This window comes from Homo sapiens, chromosome 9 (genome assembly GCF_000001405.40).
Source record: "Homo sapiens chromosome 9, GRCh38.p14 Primary Assembly".
NCBI lineage: Eukaryota > Metazoa > Chordata > Mammalia > Primates > Hominidae > Homo > Homo sapiens.
The window spans coordinates 121,046,501-121,066,618 of record NC_000009.12 but is presented as its reverse complement, the minus strand read 5'-3'; the positions used below and the strand labels follow the sequence as shown (position 1 = coordinate 121,066,618).

The 20,118-nt window shown below is 38.2% G+C and overlaps 1 protein-coding gene and 1 long non-coding RNA gene across 4 annotated transcripts in view; one reads left to right on the top strand and one right to left on the bottom strand.

The window, feature by feature from the left end:
* The window catches only part of C5 (complement C5), a 122,531-nt gene that overhangs the window by 8,247 nt on the left and 94,166 nt on the right, over positions 1-20,118 (top strand). For 2 of the 3 annotated variants that reach the window (NM_001735.3, NM_001317164.2), the window contains exon 1: positions 16,344-16,437. The exons of the other annotated variant lie outside the window; for it this stretch is intronic. In NM_001735.3, coding sequence (NP_001726.2) covers positions 16,373-16,437 — 65 coding nt within the window. In that variant the 5' untranslated portion in view covers positions 16,344-16,372. Of the gene's footprint in view, positions 1-16,343; positions 16,438-20,118 lie in introns of those variants that run through there. 3 annotated transcript variants of the gene reach the window in all.
* Positions 7,615-13,762, bottom strand: LOC124902261 (uncharacterized). The gene is made up of 3 exons (XR_007061753.1): positions 13,514-13,762; positions 13,047-13,292; positions 7,615-7,692 (listed from the first exon to the last, which is right to left on the bottom strand). It is a non-coding gene; the product is annotated as an uncharacterized LOC124902261 (long non-coding RNA).

Sequence of the window (20,118 nt, the reverse complement as noted above, 5' to 3'; positions counted from 1 at the left end):
TCCACCTCAGCCTCCCAAAGTGCTGGGATTACAGGCATGACCCACCACAACTGGCCCAAAGCTATGTTCGTAAGTGCATGAAGGCTATGACTGTTGCAACTTTTTAGTAAATAATAATTATTCTCCACATTAAATATTTCTCTTTGCTCACTTAAAGTTGTGAGTTCTGTTTACCTAAAGTTATTAGTTCTCTACTAGCTTGAATTTTGTCAGTACTTGCCTGACATATGGTTTTCTTTTTTTTAATTTTCAGTCTTTCTATATCATTTAGTGGTGATGTATACCTTTTTTTTTTTTTTTTTTTTTTAAGATGGAGTCTCGCTCTGTCGCCCAGGCTGGAGTGCAGTGGCATGATCTCGGCTCACTGCAACCTCTGCCTCCCGGGTTCAAGTGATTCTTCTGCCTCAGCCTCCTGAGTAGCTGGGACTACAGGTGCACACCACCACTCCCGGCTAATTTTTGTATTTTAGTAGAGATGGGGTTTCGCCATATTGGCCAGGCTGGTCTTGAACTCCTAACCTCATGATCTGCCTGCCTCGGCCTCCCAAAATGCTGGGATTACAGGCGTGAGACACCGCGCCCAACCTGTTGCTGCATTTTTTTTTGTTCTTTGGCTGTTTCAAAAATGTCTAACTTTTAATAGAATATTTTAAGCCCATTCAAGTTTGTTGCATTTGTACTTATTCCTGTTCTTTTACATTTTCTATTGAATATGTTTTCTTACAGTTTCTTTACATCCTTTTCAGCTTTTTGCTGATTATCTTGGGTATATCCTTCTTCTTTACCCTTTTATTAAAAATTATACTAGTTTTTATTATAAAAGTAATGCTGGGCTGGGCGCAGTGGCTCACACCTGTAATCTCAGCACTTTGGAAGACCGAGGTGGGTGGATCCCTTGAGCTCAGGAGGTCCAGACCAGCTAGGAAAACATGGCAAAATCCTGTCTTTACAAAATAAAAATAAAAATTAGCCAGGTGTGGTGGCATGTGCCTGTGGTCCCAGTTACTCTGGAGGCTGAGTTGGGAGAATCGCTTGAGCGATTCGAGGCTGCAGTGAGCTGTGATCAAGGAGTTTGAGGCTGCAATGAGCTGTGATTGCACTGCTGCACTCCAGCCTGGGTGACAGCAGAAAGCTGTCTCAAAACAAAACAAAACAAAAAAAGTAATGCTGTATAGAGGAATGTGAAGTATAAGGTAAAAGCCCTTGGCCCTGCCACCTAACTGCTTTCCAAGATATTGTCATTGTTTACTATTTTTATATCCTTCCAGCAATTTTCTCCGCAATTTTCTCTACCTATAAAAATATATTGGCTGTAGATCCATGGATTAATGTCCTCCTCCCTGACTATCCAAAATTTATAAACTGAAAGGAGGACCAGCTTTATCAAGAATCTTTTTGTCCTCTTTGATGGAATGTTCCTGTGGGGATTTTTCAGTTTATACTAATTTATACTGGGATGATTTCAGCTAATTCTGATTTCTTTAGAATGTTTTTAAATTTAAAGCTAAATTTAACTTTATACTTTCATATATATATATATATATTTTTTTAGATGGAGTCTCACTCTGTCACCCAGGCTGCAGTACAGTGGCACAATCTTGGCCTACTGCAACCTCTGCCTCCTGGATTCAAGCGATTCTCCTGCCTCAGCCTCCTGAGTAGCTGGGATATTTATTACAGGCACCGCCACCATGTCTGGCTAATTTTTGTATTTTTAGTAGAGACGGGGTTTCACCATGTCAGCCAGGCTGGTCTCGAACTCCTGACCTCAGCTGATCCGCCTTCCTCAGCCTCCCAAATCCTCAGCTGGGATTACAGGCATGAGCTGCTGTGCCCAGACTATTTTATATTTTTGATTCCAAATTTGTAGTTTGAATTAAGTTTAACTCTATATGTTTAAAATTTAATTTAATTGACATTCAGCTTTAGAAGTCAAACTTAGAAGATCTGATATTTTACCAATGCTTTTGAATTTAAATTTTAAAAATTTAATTGATAGAAATACAAAATTAAAGTTGATAAATTATTTGAGGAATTTATGAGAGAATATAAAAATTGCTAACATTTGAAAAAGTATAAAATGACATTCAAAATATCAGATTCTATCACATATGAAAATCTGCAGCAATAATTCTATCACAGATGAAATACTGAAATCTTGGGGTCTAATAAGAACTATCAGGAAATGTATTTTTGTTAACAGTTTCAATATGAAAGTTAACAAAACACTCAAAGAAATAAACTAGGAAGCAACAGAAGCTAGTTTATAGTTTTCTGGAGCTATAACAAGTATTGTTTAAAACTTACAACGACCCTGTTAGGTGGACAGAGTAGACAATATCTCCTATTCTACAAATGAAAAAAGTGAAGTTAACTTAAGATTGAAAAACATAAAATCTCAAATACATAAAATCATACTCAATTATATATTACAGAGAAAAGAAATGGAAATGAGAAATAGAGTAGGAAAAGGAAAAAAGAATAATTTAAAAAAACAAAAAATAAAAAGAACAACAAGAACAAAGTGAATAAGTAAAATTTAAAAGAACTGAAATGGAAGAGATGGGGGTCATAGGTCAATGCTGGTGAGATTCATGAGAAGCAGTGATATAATTCTTCTTACAAAGAAATATCTCAAGATTCATTAATGGGATAATATTCCCCATTTTCCCCAGAATAACCACCAGTTTTAAAAGTTAACTAGATTTTGGAAGGCATTTTTGCATCCTTATCTTTTTATAATTTTCACTGGAATAAATCACTAACTTTTTATCCTGTTAAATGGGGACCATCATATCTTATTTCATAGGGTTAAAGGGTTACCTTCATGGAAAAGCATTGCAGTCCTATGACCTTTCTGGATATTGCTGCAAACAATTTTTCAAAAACATTTTGCACATTGCCACTACAGCATAAAAATAGAAGCATTTCTAAATTAAGGTTCAAATCTAACCTACAGGTCAAATTTTCCAGGTTGCTCTATTCTATTATTTAATTTTAAATTTTTTAAATTCCAGTTTTAACAAAAAATTACAAGACAAGCAAAGATGCAGGAAAGTGTAGCCCATACAAGGAAAAGATATAATAAAAACCACCTGAGGAAATCTTGATCTCCTAGATATGGACTTTACGTGAGATATTTTCAGTATGATCAAATAACTAAAAGAAACCACATCTAAAGAACTAAAGAGAAGTGTAAGAGCTACGTCTTACCATACAAAGAATAAGACGAAAATTATAAATAAGAACCAAATAGAAATTCTGTATTTGAAAACTACAATAACTGAAATAAAAAATTCAATAGGGACACTCAACAGCAGATTTGAGCAGGGAGAAAAAAAGAATCAATGAACTTGAAGATAGATCAATTGAGATTATCCAGTCTGAGGAGCAGAAAGAAAAAAGGATTAAGAAAAATGAACAGACCTGTAGACCATCTGGTATGCCATAGAAAACACAAACATATACATAAAGACAGACCTTTGGTATACCATCGAGCATACCAACATATGCATGAAGAGAGTTCCAGAAGGAGACGAGAGAGAGAGGAAAGGACAGAAAAAAATATTTGAAGAACTAATGGTCAAAATTTTCAAATGTGATGAGACACATTAATCCACACATTCAAGAAAACTCAATGAACTCCAAGTATGATAAACTCAAAGAGAACCACACCTGACTACATCATAATAAAACTGTCAAGTGTCAAAGATGAAGAGATAATCTTGAAAATAACAAGAGAAAAGCAACACATGATAGTACAAAGGATCCTCAGTAAAATTAACAGCTGATTTCTCATCAGAAAGCACAGAGGCTACTAAGTAGAAAGATGATATATTCAAAGTGCTGAAAGAAAAAGACTGTCAACCAAAAATTCTGTAAATACCATCACTTTGGTGATTAAGATTCAACATAAGAATTTCAAGAGGACACAAACATTCAGACCGTAGCACTAATGATCACAGAACCCAAGGGAAGCAGCTTGATGTTATCTAGTTGTCTTAAAATTTTCTCATGTTCTTGACATTCTTTGTTTACTCTGCCAATACCTTGCCTTGTGTTATTAGAGGAGATTCCTTGTGAAGTGTTAAGAGATTTGTCTTTGAAGTCAGATATGAGTTTACTCCTGACTTAGCTACTCCAAAGCTGGCTTCATGAGCATGCAACCTATGCAGTCACCCCAAACCCCACACGCAGAAGGGCCCCACACTTGGTTTAATGCTCTGTTGTTGTCCTGCATTTATTAATAATTTTATCTTTGAGCTTGTTTTTTATAAATGAAGTCTGACAGCACGATATTTATGTCCACAATTCCTTGCCTCCTCATTCACACAGAGCATTCACAATACCCTGTGAACACAGAATTCCAGTGGGCTCACAAGGTGCAGAAGTTTAGTGGGAATCAAAGTGAGTACAAAGTATTAAGAAAAGTATGTCTGTGGCTGAGCAAGCCGGGGCACTGACAGCCTGAAGAGACCACATTCTCCATTGGAACAGGAACTTGTTTTGAGTGCAGAAAGATGGTGAAGGCATGCTAAAAAAGAAAAAAAGAAAAACAACAACAACAAAAAAACAAGGAGCCTTATCATATCCTTTCTTACTCATGGTATTTCCTTGTATTAGGGAACTATTATGTGTACCTTGAATATGATAACATAGAAAGAAAGGGAAAGATAGGATAATTCACAGTTTCTTTTTCTTTCAGGCTTTCCTTGTCCTCAGAAAGCAAAGGTGGAGAGTGTGGGTAGAACATACACATATCAAAAAGTAAAATAAAAACAGCTGAGCTAGTTTTGTGCATAATTTCCACTGTTCTGGGAAGAATGGAATATATATACATGTATGAACTATGACATACAAATGGTGTAATTTTGGCAATTGCACATGCAAGTGAAATGCTGTTATATTTGCAGCTTAAACTGGTACACAATATGAAGATGAATGATAAAAGTCATGCCAATAATTAAAGTTATTAATTTCCCTTTATTTACAATGATGTTAAATAGCAAATCTTAAAAAGCACCATGACAAATTGAGGGAAAGACTACAGATGAAAGGAAAAGGCTTTTTTTTGAGACAGTCTTGCTCTGTAGCCCAGGCTGGAGTGCAGTGGTATGATCTTGGCTCACTGCAGCCTCGACCTCCTGGCTTCAAGCAATTCTCGTGCCTCAGCGCCCCAAGTAGCGGGGTTTCAGGCACATGCCACCACGCCCGGCTAATTTTTGTATTTTTTGTAGGGATGGGTTTTTGCCATGTTGGCCAAGGTAGAGGAAAAGGCTTTATGTTTATATTTTAATACCTTAACAGCATTTTTCCTGCTTTTTTGAATAAGAGATGCCACATTTTTATCTTGCACAAGATCACTCAAATTATGTAAGTGGCCAGAGCTACTTTTTTGTGTGTGTGATTCTGGGCTTTTATTATTATTTTTGAGACAGAGTCTCGCTGTGTCACCCAGGCTGGAGTGCAGTGGCACGATCTCCGCTCACTACAACCTCCATGTCCTGGGCTCAAGTGATTCTCCTGCCTCAGCCTCCTGAGTAGCTAGGATTACAGGCGCCCACCACCACACCCAGCTAATTTTTGTATTTTTAGTAGAGACAAGGTTTTACCGTGTTGGCCAGGCTGGTGTCGAACTCCTGACCTCAGGTGATCTGCCTGCCTCGACATCCCAAAGTGCTGGGATTACAGGTGTGAGCCACTTCGCCCGACCTGATTCTGGGATTTTTAAATGAAGCAATACAGACCTTCTGATTATCAGATTCTTTGTCTGTAAAATGAGTATAATGCTGAATCATTCCAACCAACATCAAGTGACTTCTGCTGCTGGGCAATTATTTTATTAATTTAATATTTTCTATATAACTTTTATGAAGAGATCCAGAAAGCATTCTAGGGGTCTCAGGATAAATAGGGGGAAATAAAATTACTTAGAGTCAGCTGGGTGGGGTGGGGAGGGATAGACTAAGTGTTTTGAGAGATTTGGCAGTTATTTTGGAAGGAAAAAAAAATTCAAAGATTTTGTGATACCTGGTTTTTTTTCTTGTAAAAAACAGAGACTTTAGCATGTCTTCTTTTAAAAATAATTGAAGCAGAAAGAAAAGAGTTGGAAAAGCAAGAAACAGTAATCCTAGAAAGAGTAATCATAAGAACTCCATAAATGTTTATGTGATTTTCAGTGCTAAGAAAGATCGCATTTCAGCATTCTTAAGAAGAAGGCAAAGCAGCTGTTATCTCAAGGAAGCAAAGAAGCTGGTTCTCAGAAGAGTTATTAATGTAAGATGAGAAGCCAGAGTTTACCATGAAAAGCTGTCGCACCTAAGCATTGACTTAATCAGCACGAATTATTCCAGCTTTCTTTGGGAAGCTATTAAGTTAATACCAGCAGGTGGCGCTTTCAAAGTAGGCTCCTGAAGCTGCTGCTCTTCAGGAACTTAAAGTACACTTGCTAATTATAAGCATTGATGACCGAGGAGCAAGGACCTATTTGGGTGGTGGTAGTGAATGTAAGGAGCTTTGATGAAAGTTATATTTTTAGAAAAACAGCTAATCTAGTGTAAAATTACTATTGCTATGTAATAAATTCCCCCAAACTTAATGACGTAAGATAACAACACACCTTAATTATCTGCCCAGTTCCTATGGGCAGGAATTCAGGAATGGCTTAGCTAGGTAATTCTGGGTTAGGTTCTCTTATGAGGTTGCAGTCAAGATGACAGCTGGGCTGCAGCCACCTAAAGGCATGACTAGGGCTGGAGGATTCACTTCACATGGCTCTGGGCGGGAGGCCGTGGTTCCTTTCTACGTGGGCTTCTCCATAGGCTTCCTGAGTGTGCTCACTACATGGGGGCTTCCCCTAGAACAGGCCGTTCAAGAGAGAAAAAGGCAGAAACAGCAATGTCTTGTATGACCTAACCTCAGAAGTCACACATCTTCACTTTTGCTGTATTCTATTGGTCAGATGAATCGGTGTGATACAGTGTGGGAAGGGACCACACAGAGGCATGAATACGAGGGAGGTAAGGACCACTGGGAGCCATCTTGGAGTCTGGCTACCACATTTAGCCACTGGATGAGTAACAGGTATTAGAATTAGATGAAGGAACTTATGCTGAACAAAAAGCAACATTGTCTGAAAAAGCGTGGCTCAGTGGAACCAAAGAAGGTGGTTAATGAGCTGAGCTTGATTCATTAGAAGGTCTAGGGTACAGAAAGAACAGATTCAGGTGAGGTTATAAAACTGTGAGAGATAAAGGGAGAGTGAGCATCTCCTCCTTGTATGTTGTTTCCTTTTGATTCCTCTAAGGAAAATATGCTTAACTAAATTCCATTATTAACACTGGATTTTCTCTTAGCCTTATTATTTTCCACTTCCTCCCTACTTCCTTATCTGAAATCCTATCCTATTCCATTATTATTTAGGATGTGAAGTGGCCTTTTGGGACATGCTATTCCAACCCACTGCTTTGGTGACTTTCAAGCATAGTTTAAGCAATGGCTTCCTTCTCTATTTTTCCCAGTTACCATTCAATCTTCAAATACAAATTTATCCACGGTGGATTTGAACCACTGTATTTCCCAGAATGTGGCTTATCCAGTTATTCTCTGACTCTTTCCACCTCTCACCTTTTCAGTTTGTCTTCCCAATCTGCCATCTGCCTGGTGGTCATTTCAGCCAGTCTTGCTCCAGCTCTATTGAGGAAGGGAGAACCAGACATAAGCCAGACTAGGTATTCAATTATGTCACATTTATTCCCACCTTGTGCATTTGAACCTTTGCCTAGAATACACAATAGTATATAATAAGAATCAAAATGTGTGGACTGGGATATAAATTATTTAAGAGTTTATAAAATACAGAATTAGTTACAGACAAAAAAGGCCGGGCATGGTGGCTCACGCCTGTAATCCCAGCACTTTGGGAAGCCGAGGTGGGTAGATCACTTGAGGTCCAGAGTTGGAGGCCAGCCTGGCCAATATGGTGAAACCCCATCTCTACTAAAAATACAAAAATTAGCCAGGCATGGTGGCTCACCCCTGTAGTCCCAGCTACTTGGGAGGCTGAGGCATGAGAATCACTTGAACCAAGGAGGCAGAGGTTGCAGTGAACTGAGATTGCACTACTGCACTCCAGCCTGTGTGACAGAGTGAGAATCCATCTAAAAAAAAAATTTTATATATACATATATATACACACATATATCTGGAGAAGGTGTCAAAGAGAAGGTAAGACTTCAGCATGGTTTCGTATCTTTCCTGGCTTTTTTCTATGGATCCCAAACAATCAAATCGAAATTTCTGCAAATTATTAGATGTGTTCCCTGAAGCACTACATTTTTCTGAGCCTTAGTTTACTCATTGGTAACCAGAGGGTAATAACACCCTTCTGCATGGTTGTCAAGATAAGAGATAATTTAGCAAGTTAATTATCACAATAACTGATAAATGTTGGAAGCTAATAATGGGTAGCTATTGTGTTGTCACCATTTGGATAAGCTCCTTAAAGGCTGAGAATACATCCTGTATGTCTGAGTCTCATAAAATCTCGTTTAAATGCAGTGGAGTTTACAGGTCTTATTGAGACGTGATTAACATTTATGGCATTTCCTCTTAATTGCTAGACTGATTACTGAGAAGCGAGAAGAATGCTTCAAACAACACCGGATTTAAAGTCTGAGAAGGATATTTTGGAGCAAAGAACTTCTACAACTTATGAGATAAAGAAGTAGGTTACACGGAATCTACTAAAGGCAATCAATGCCATAACAAGAGACAAAACTGTTTAGAGTGCCTTCTAAAAAGGATTCTAGTCCATTTACACTCATTTACTTGTTATTATTAATCAGTAAGGACTTAGTATTGACATTTTGTTACTCGTTTTCTGCTTGTTTTGTTGGTCCTCTCTTCCTTTCTTCCTTCCCATCTTCCTTTGTGTAAAAGTGATTTTCTCTAGTAGTATGTTTTAATTCCTTGCTTTTTATTTTTTGTGTAGCAATTATAGGTTTTTGGTTTGTAGTTATCATGAGGCTTGCAAATAACATCTCATAAACAATTATTTTAGACTTATAACAACTTAACTATTATCAGAAAGAAAAGTTTTTAAAAACAAGCAGAGAAAGCCAAACAAACATCTACACTTTTTCCTGCATTTTGACTTTTTGTTTTATCTATTTGTATCTTTTTACATGGTCTGTCTCTTAAAAAATAATTGTAGTTACTATTTTTGATAGGTTTATCATTTAGTCATTCTATTAAGTATATGAGTGGTTTACATACTGCAATTACAGTGTTACATTATTCTGTATTTCTCTGTGTAATTATTTTTACCAGCGAGTTTTATACTTTTAGATTATTTCTTCTTGCTCATTAATAGCCTTTTCTTTCAGATTGAAAAAACTTCCTTTAGCATTTCCTATAAGATAGGTCTAATGTTGATAATATTCCCCAGCTTTTGTTTGTCTAAGTGTTTCTCCATGTCTGAAAAATAATTGTGCTGGATATAATATTCTAGGTTGGATGTTTCTTTTCCTCAGCACTTTGACTATGTCATCCCACAAGCCTGTAAAGTTTCTGCTAAGAAATCTGTTGCCAGATGTATTAGAGCTCCTTTATGTTACTTGTTTCTTTTCTCTTGCTGCTTTTAAGATCCTTTCTTTATCCTTGATCATTGAGAGTTTTATTATTATATGTCTTGAAGTAGTCTTATTTGGGTTGAATCTGCTCGGCATTCTTTGATTTTTTTGTACCTAGATATTCATATCTTTCTCTAGGTTTGGAAAGTTGTCTGTTATCATTTCCTTGAATAAACATTCTATCCCAATTTTTCTCTCTCTCTCTCTACATCCCCTTTAAGGCTAGTAACTCTTAAATTTGCTCTTTTGAGGCTATTTTCTAGATCTTGTAGGCATGCTTCATTCTTTTTTCTTTTTAGTTTTTTCCTTTTTCTCCTCTGTGTATTTTCATATAGCCTGTCTTCACAAATTCTTTATTTTGCTTGATCAAGTCTGCTATTGAGAGACTCCAGTGCATTTTTCAGTTTATCAATTGAATTTTCTATCTCCAAGATTTTTTAAAAGAAATTTTCATATTTTATTGATAAAATAATACGTAGTCACAAATATTGGGGGAAGAAATGTAGCCATACACTTCTTTGTCTTAGTAATCTATATTTTAGCCAGCTCCAGAATTTCCATTTGATTTAAAAAATTTCAATCTCTTTGTTAAATTTATCTGATAGAATTCTGAATTTCTTCACTGTTGTCTTGAAGTTCATTGAAGTTCATCAAGGCAGCTATTTTGAATTCCCTGTCTGATTAGTCATATATCTTCAACACTCCAGGATCGGTCAATGGTGCCTTATTCAGTCCATTCAGTGAGGCCATGTTTTCCTGGATGTTCTTGATAATTGTGGATATTCGTCCATGTCTGGGCCTTGAAGATTTAGGTATTTATTCCCATCTTTATAGTCCAGGCTTGTTTGTCCCTGTCCTTGAGAAGGTTTTCCAAGAATTCAAAGGGGATTGAGTTTTGTGGCCTAAGCCTGTGGTTACTGCAGCCATCTCAGCACTTGGGGGTGCCCTAAGCCCAGGAACACTGAAACTCTTACAGACTCTTAGGTACACAGCCTTGGTGTATCTAAGACTTGGGAAGATAGGGGAGAATTCCCTGGGTTACCAGGCAAAGTCTCTTTCTCTCTTCCCTCTCTTTCCCAAATCAGAAGGCATCTCTCTCCAGGCTTGGCTAACTGGAGCTGGGGGAGGAGTGATGCAGACACTCTACTGGCCACAGCTGGCATTACACTGGGTCATACCTGAAGCCCATGGCCTTCCAGACCAGCTCTGTATTGGGGCTCACCAAGGCCTGCAGCCACTACTGCCTGGTTATGCCTGCAGCTAATGTTTATTCAAGGCCCAAGGCCACATTAGTCAGCAGATGGTGAATCCTGCCAGGACCAAGTCCGTACCAACCGGGCAGTGGATTCCCTTCTGACCCAGGATGGGCCTAGAAACACTATCCAGGAACAAAGCCTGGAATCGGGGGCTTCGGGAATCTGTTTGATGTTTTATCGTATTGTGGCTAAGCTGATACCCAAGTTGCAAGACAAAGTCCTCTGTGCTCTTCTCTCTTCTTTCCCCAAGCAGAAGGAATCTCTCCCCAAGCATCAGTACCTGAAGTTTGGGAAGGAGTGACATACATACTCCTGTGGCTGCCACAGCTAGTGTTAAACTGTGTTGCACCCTAAGTCCACTGCCTCCAAGACCAGGACAGCACTAGACCTTGCCCAAGGACTTGCTAACAGAGGAAAAAAAATCTGTGAAATATTTCAGAGTGGAATATTTTGAGCCAATATGAGTGATCATGGTCTTGGGAACAGTCTTAAGAGGTTCTGAGGAAGTATGCCTGAAGCAGGTAGGTTATAGTTTGGTTTTATACATTTCCAGGAGAAAAGAGTTACAGGCGAAGACATAAATCGATACATGGAAAGTATATATTGATTCAGCCCAAAAAAGCAGGACATCTCCAAGCAGGGACTTAGTAGTTATAGGTGGGTCTTAAGGATTCTTCAGTTGACAATTGGTTGAGAGGGTTAAGCTATTGTCTAAAGGCTTAAAGTCAATAGTAAGTAATGCTTGAGTTAAAGGAGGTTGTGGGGTCCAAGGTTCTTGTTACGTTGATGAATCCTCATAGGTAGCAGCCCTCCGAGAGAATCAATGGCAAACGTCTGTCTCTTTGCAGACCTTTGAGATGTCAGACTCTCAGTTCAACTCTGCCAGAACTGGGAAAAGCCTAGAAAGGGAAGGCCTGGTTGCATTAATGGAGATTATCTACAGATGCAAATCTCACTCACAAAAGATAGCTTTGCAGGGCCATTTCAAAATATGTCAAATAAATATATTTTGAGGTAAAATATTTTTATTCCCTACAGGGTCTGCTATCTGTCATGTGATGCTATATCAGAGTCAGGTTGAAAAGCAAACCATATTACAGCAGGTTTATTTTTATTTATTTATTTATTTTGAGGCAGCGTTTTGCTCTCGTTGCCCAGGCTGGAGTGCAATGGCACGATCTTGGCTCACTGCAACCTCTGCCTCCCAGGTTCAAGCAATTCTGCTGCCTCAGCCTCCTGAGTAGCTGGGATTACAGGCACCTGTCACCACACCCAGCTAATTTTTGTATTTTTAGTAGAGATGAGGTTTCACCATATTGGCCAGACTGGTCTTGAACTCCTGACCTCAGGTGATCTGCCTGCCTCAGCCTCCCAAAGTGCTGGGATTACAGGAGTGAGCCACCACGCCCGGACTATACCAGGTTAACTTTTAAAACTCATTTAATGATATTTTATGGTTTGTAGGGTGTGATTCCTTGCATGAATGGCCTGAGGTCTTGTTTATAATTTGGTATCTTATTGCCACAGAGTCTGTTTTGTCCGTCTTATGATATTTTAACTTGAATGCTGGTCAGTTGTGCCTAAACTCCAAAGGGAGGGGGTATAACAAGGCATGTCTAACCTCCCTTCCCATCACGGCCAGGAATTCAATTTTTAAGATGTTTCTGGGGTCTCTTTGGCCAAGTGGGAGTTCATTCAGTCAATAGGGGGCAAGTTGGGGGTGCTTAGCATTTTATGTTTAGTCTACACACTTTAGTCCTTGTGTCCTGACTGCCACTCAAATAGACTCAGGACCTCAGACCACTTTAGTTAGCCAGTGGTGAAGCTAGCCATGACCTGGGTTTCTCCCTCTGGAGCACAGAATTCTCCTCTGTCCCAAGGCCTGCCTAAATGCACTGTCAGAATTCTAGGCGCCTGCAGAATTCTGTCCTGTGTTATGTTCCACCATGACGGGGCAGCACTGACTTCCAGTGCAAAGTCCCACACTCACTTTGCTCTCTCTCCTCCAAGCACACGGATTCTCTTTCCTGCTGTGCAGCCTGTGGTTGGAGGAGGGGTGGTATAGGCAATACAGGGAGATCTTCCCCCCTACCCCCACCCTATCTTCAATGCCTCTTTCCTTATCATTACGGTAAAAGTAGGCACTGTGATCACTCACCTGATTTTATGGCTTTTATGAAGGTGCTGTCTTGCGTGGATAGTTGTTCTATTTGGTGTTCCTGTGTGGAGAACTATCTCGGGGGGGGTTCTATTCAGCCATCTTGCTCCACCTCCGCCCTCTCTCCAGTCAGTCTTTAAACTGCTGGCACCGAAGCCTCCAGTGCCTTTCTCCTCTATATCCCATGGAGAGTTACTGAAGTAGTTCTTTTTGGATTTCAGTTGGCCTTTTAGTAGAGCCTTTCTCCTAAAGGATTAAAACGTGAGACTGCGGGCTTGAGCCAAAAAGCAGTCAGAGGGACAAATACTGGGTTTTACTTAGAATAACCCACCTGCCTAGTGCCAGCCTACCACTCTTGAACAAAACTTGTATGATTCCCGTGTCTCCATTTAGAATAATTTAATTCTGAGGAGACGCCTCTGTTTCTCCACTGGCCTCTGGACATGGAACAGGCACATGAAAATTACCTGGGGCAGCTATGGGTCACATCACCTCTCTTACTCTAGCCAGCCAGCAGGCACTTGAAGTTCGCAATCTGATGGGCTGAATTTCTGAAAACAATAACAAACACAATGTCACTTATTTTTTATTCTCTAAATTTACAACCCATTAATATACCTCCCTGTAAGCTGTCTGATTTTGAAAATTATACATGATAAAATCTTTTTATTATACATAAAAAAGAGTTCTGTAGTTTGTATTAATAGAAAATTGGTGTCCAGACATATTTTACCAAGTAAGTACAAAATAACTAAAGAATATCCATTTGAAAGATACAAAATTATTATCCTGCTAGGAGCACCTTGGTGTCAAGGTGACTTCAGGGAATAATCAGGTAATTCAGCTCCTTGGCCGGAGTGAAGAATGGAATGTTGAGGCTGGAGAACTAAGCAGGGCTCAAGAGGGGCCTGGTGCACTAGGCTAGGTCATTTGGGCTCAATCATGAGGGGACAATTGAGGCAGCATTAGCAGGAAGGTCAGGTGACCACCAAACTTTCTGCCAGATCTGAGTTTCTTCTCTTTTAGAAATGCAGTATTTGTATAAAAATGAAAGGCTTACCAAAGGTCACATTTTAAATTATAAAGAAAAAAAATCATCTTTTTTTTTTTTTTTTTTTTCTGAGATGGAGTCTGGCTCTGTTGCTCAGGCTGGAGTGCGGTGGCGTGATCTGTGCTCAACCTCCACCTCCCAGGTTCAAGTGAATCTCCTGCCTCAGCCTCCCAAGTAGCTGGGATTACAGGCACCCGCCACCACGCCTGGCTAATTTTTGTATTTTTAGTAGAGGCGGGTTTTCGCCATGTTGGCCAGGCTGGTCTTGAACTCTTGACCTCAGGTGATCCACCCACCTCGGCCTCCCAAAGATCTGGGATTACAGGTGTGAGCCAGCGTGCCCAGCCTCAAAAGTTCATCTGTGAGCCACATTTAGAAGGTAGATAAAAAATTTTGACTAAACACAGCTTAGAATCTATAAATTGTTAAACTTCAGTTCTGTTGAGAATCTTTGAGATCCATCATTCTCTAAATGTTTTCTACCAGAGAAACAGGACAATGGCTTGCAAATATTGGTTATCAGTATTTACTCTATAGCTCAAGCAAACAAACTTATTTGCACTTAAAATACAAATATTACCTACCTTGATTTGAGTGTTGTTGTTCTCTCTTAAATTTCATTTCCCAAAAATGATGGCAAAAGTACTGTTTGTTTTAACTTGACCCATCTTTTGCAACCCAGCTTAATCATTTCACAGATTCCCTTTTGAAATAAATGGGCTAGATGATCAGACAATAGTGGCAAATGTTTGTCATTTCAATGACATATGCAAGAGATACCTTTAGTGAAATTTGTATATCAAATTTCCCTTTGTGCTCCTTTTTTCCCTAGTGAATTCAGCATTAAAGTGTTTATAAATATTTTTGGTTTATTATTTATTAATTCAAAGCAAAGAATGCCAATGTGACCATAAATATCTCATTTATATATCATAAATATCTCATTATAGAAATATGTTTAGAGACATCTGTTTTATTATTTTAAAGAAGAGTACATATTATATATTAAGGTAAAAATAGTACTAAAAAAGAGAAGGTAGTAAATAAAAAAATTCTAATGAACATAAAACATCATAAAAATTAACTTAATTAAAAATCAGCCAGGCACAGTGGCTCATGCCTGTAATCCCAGTACTTTGGGAGGCCAAGGTGGGTGGATCACCTGAGGTCAGGAGTTCGAGACCAGCCTGGCCAACACGGTGAAACCCTACCTCTACTAAAAATACAAAAAATTAGCTGGATGTGATGGGACATGCCTGTAGTCCCAGCTACTTGGGAGGCTGAGGCAGGAGAATGCCTTGAACCTGGGAGGCAGAGGTTGCCCTGAGCCAAGATAGTGCCACTAGACTCCAGCCTGGGCGACAGAAAGAGACTCTGTCTCCAAAAAAAAAAAAAAAAGTATAAAGATAAAATTTTAGTATATTGTGAATTAATTACTAGACTCAATTGTTATAGGAAGCTTTGTTTTTCTGGAGCTCTTATATTAAAATTATTAAAATCCTCACTGAAAAGTATAACATGTGTTTTCTTTAAAAGAAAGATATTCTATATCTGAATAAAGACAAACTTTGAACGAGTGGTATATGCCTTAATAAATATTGGAGAATATCTATTCTCCAATACTTAGAGAATGACGACAGCATCCTCCACATGGCGTTTTCATTGCCAGTCACAACTTTCCTCCACCTAGTGTTCTCTAGACTGAGACAGACCAAGGAACAATTCCCTAGACCTCCTTTGCAGAGCTAGGTTATGCTCAGACCATTTGCAGCACCAAGGACACTGCCATTCAGGTCACCAAAAAAAGATCATCTTGTGAGCCCTGTCTAAACCAGGCCCCTTCTAAAATCATTTCAGTGTGAAACTGAGTCCAGGTGGGTCTTCATCAGTATTAGAGTGGACCTGCCAGATGTATGCTTGCAGATGATGCAACATCAAAGCAAATGCCCTGGGCAAGAGAAGAAAGGCCAAAGCAATGGGCTTACTGGTTTCTAGCTTTGAGCCACTCTTCATAGTGCCAAATTCCCATTTTAGGGTCCCTTTATTTGTATTAATAAAAATAAATTCCCTGGGTGTAAGTTCCTGTAAAGTACTCCCTATCTGTATTCCTGGGCATGAAAGGGTGTTTTAGTTCCAATTCTAGTTTTCCCACTTAGAGGTTCACCTTTCTGACATTAATAATTAACCAGATTATCTGAATTCTTCAAGTTCAGTTTATTTAAAAGGAGACTATCCTCAAAAGTGTTATATCCGTGGTTTCCTGCTACCTCCAACCATGGGCCTTTTGGGAATACTTTGTTTTTTAATCTTCCTGGGGAAAACCTGGGGACAGGAGCAAACGTAAGTAAAACAAGCTATCTTCATTTTTCAATGCATCTTAGTTATGACGAATGAAGAGTTAAATTTAACAGATTCTGTTAACTTGAAAATAACTTGCTACTTCTGAGAACAGCAAGTGAATAGTATCATCTCTGAATGAGAAAGTCATGGAAGCATTTTGATTTGATGAGTAGCTAACAACATGACAGCTTTTATGGAATTGTTATTTATTAAAATTTACGTTAAGTGATTATTCAAATTCCTCTTCAAAAAAGCACAAAAGAAACTCCAGATAATAAACTTTCTTGACATTTTTTGCTTATTTTAACTTGGTGTTTAGTTTTCTTTGTGTTTTTCATAGACTATACACAGTTAAACCAGGGTTATTTAGGAGTCAATCTAATACTGTGATCTGAAAATCTGTTGTTGTAGTGACTTCTACCATACATTTATGAGCTGACTTTTCACAATTTTTAGTGTCATTATTGAGATAATATGCATTTTAAGTAATGTTTTAAAAATAATGATCTTATATCTAGAAATATTTTAATACTGAAAAGTAACTGCAGATCATCTAATCAAACCTATTCATTTTATATATGAGAATAAGTCCAGATAAGGGAAGTGACTGACCAAAGGTCACAGTTCTAGAGAGAGAGAAACAGGATTTTTATTAAGGTCTCCTGTTTATCACTTCAATTTTTTTCATTTTGTCATAAATGTATACATGTAAATATATTATATATAAACACATACTTAGGATGTCATTCTTTTTTAGCACCCTCGTATTTCTGATCTGTGATCTTTTTACATGGCCACAAGCACTCAACTACCTTAGCATCCTGCCTTTATTCTTTTTGAAAGACGAGCAGCTAAGGCTTAGAGAGACTGAAATTAAGTGACTTCAAATTGGTGGCAGAACTAGGGCTAGGACCTGGGTTCCATGATTCTTGTCCAGACTTATTCTGAATTCTTTCTACTAGCCCTTAATAAAAATTATTTCCTCACTTTCTCTGAAGAAGTCAGAGTGTACCATTTACAACATGGCAATCAATCACTTTAATTAATTGGTTGATTGATTGATTCAACAAATATTTATTGAGCATCTAAACATATGATAGGCACTGCAGATATAGCAAACGGTAAGACAATTCCTAGAGCTTGCATTCTAGTGGGAGAAGCAAGTAATGAATGAATGAACCAATGAAAGAATGTGTAAGGTCAGGTAGGTAGTATTATGAAGAAAAAAATAAAGCAGAGTATGAGAATTAAAAAATAATTATGGGGCACTATTTTAAAATGTGGCCAGGAAAGGTTCTCTTAAGGAGGCTGCACTCAAACAGAGCCTGAAGGAAGTGAGGAAGCAAACCATGCAAATATTTGAGGAAAGAGCATTCCAGATAGAGGCCAAAATAACATTCTTGCCTCTCTGCAAGCTCCTGCTCCTCTGCAGCAATTGAAAGACAAAGAAAACTATGAAATTATTTATATGGATAGATTATGCTACTGATAAGTCAATAAGAACCAAAATCTTTATAAAGGGTGGTTCCAGAATATTCTTTTAGGGGCTTCTAAACACTATGTATTTTTGCTTGACGGCTACCATCACATAGACCAGCAGTCCCCAACCATTTTGGCACTAGGGACAGGTTTTGTGGAAGACAATGTTTCCATGGACCAGGATTGGGGTGGGGATGGTTTCAGAATGAAACTGTTCCACTTCAGATCATCAGGCATTATATTCTCATAAGGAGCTTGCAATCTAGATCCCTCGCATGTGCGGTTCACAATAGAGTTCATGCTCCTAGGAGAATCTAATGCCACCACTGATCTGACAGGAGGCAGAGCTCAGGTGGTAATGCTCCTTTGCCCCACTGCTCACCTCCTGCTGTGTAGCCTGGTTCCTAACAAGCCATGGACTGGTATTTGTCCATGGCCCAGGGGTTGGGGACCCCTACCATACACAATTCAAAATTAAAGCAATACTAAACTTAAAAACATAAAGCTTCTATAAATACTGAAATTAAAGTAGCTTTATATCCCTAAATTTTTCTAATTACAAAACTCTTTATAAATTCCATTTAGTACAACAGTTGAAAATGTTAATTCTGGAAACGGGCTGCTCAGGTTCGATTTCTAATTCTATAATTTGTGAATTATAGAATTCATAAATCCTATATGTGTGGCCTTGGGAAAATTAATTAGCAGTTTCTTCACCTTAAAATTGGAGTAATAGTTCCTCACAGAGTGGTTGTAATGACACAATGAGTTTATACAAATAAAGTATTCAGAATAGTGCCTTATCACAGGGCAAAATTTCAGTAAATATATCTTATTATCATAAAAACTGAACTCCTCTCATTTTCTGCCATCTCCTACTAGGCATGTGGGGAAGGGGAATTCAGATGATGGTTGGAAATCTGGAAATTCTTTCCTCTCTTTTGTAATTTGCCTGTAAGTGGATCCAAATTAATTGTAATGCAGGATAACTGTCAGATGCTTTAAAGGATTTAATTGCTGATAAATTAATTCCATTGTTACTAAAAACTTCCTGCTTTTACCAGACTCTTAAAATGTCACAATGTTGGCAGAAGCCTGGAATAATTCTGCCAGGTGGGGTGGTGGGTGCCCTCCAAGCTTGTTGGGCCACTTGAATTAGTCGATCACTATGCCCTTTTGGGTTAAAACACTTTTTTTTCCTATGTAATAGCGTATGTAGTTCTCGCTATTCAAATTAGATACTCTTGTGATATACACTTAGTAATCCAGTTTATATTTGTAAGTTTTTAAATAAAATAATTTTTAAAAATCACTCAAAAGCATGTATAGACTCACTTCCATTATTGTATAAATCACATGAAAAGTAAAAATAAGAGAACAGTCTATGGTTGTGAATAACATATAAACTTGACCTCAACTGTACACATAACAACTGAGAACTCATATAAAGGCCTCCCCCATTTACTTACAAACCGTATAACCTTAGCCAAGTTAGCCTTTTACCACTTGCAAAGTACGAATAATGATAGTACCAGCATCATTGGCTTATTGTAAAAATTAACAAGAGCTGTATGTAAAGTGCTGATACAGCCTCTGATATGTGGCAAGTACTTAATTACCATTATTGTTTGAAGATGATGATTTGCTCTTAAAGGACCATCATCACTATTTCCATTTCCAAATGCACTTCCCAGCTCACTCATATTCTATCCTTTCCGTTATCCGTTTACTAGTATAACATAGTATTTCTAAGATCACTCCCTTTAAACTAATTTAGTGAGATTAATAAATCTTAACATGTATTGAGTACTAAGAGTGCTAGACCTTTTCATATATATGTTCTTATTTAATCTTTACCAGAGCCTGGTAAAGAAGGCGATTATTTTCACAGTAAGTTATTTTAGCCTCAGAAAGACTTAGTGACTTTACCACGGTCACTCAGCCAGCAGATGCCACAGCTGGAATTCAATCACTGCTTTTTTCTTCATTGAGCAAAAAATATTGACCCCATTTACATGTTCTGGTCAACATGATTAAAAGTCTTCCTTGGCTGCAGTAGCTAAGAGAAAGTGCTGCTATCACCTTAACTTTCTAAATGTAAACTAAACCTCCAGCTTCTCAGGTCTTAATTCCAAACTACTTGGAAATTATGCTGAAGTTATGGTGGGTCACAAGTACATTTTGACTTATTAGTATCATTTT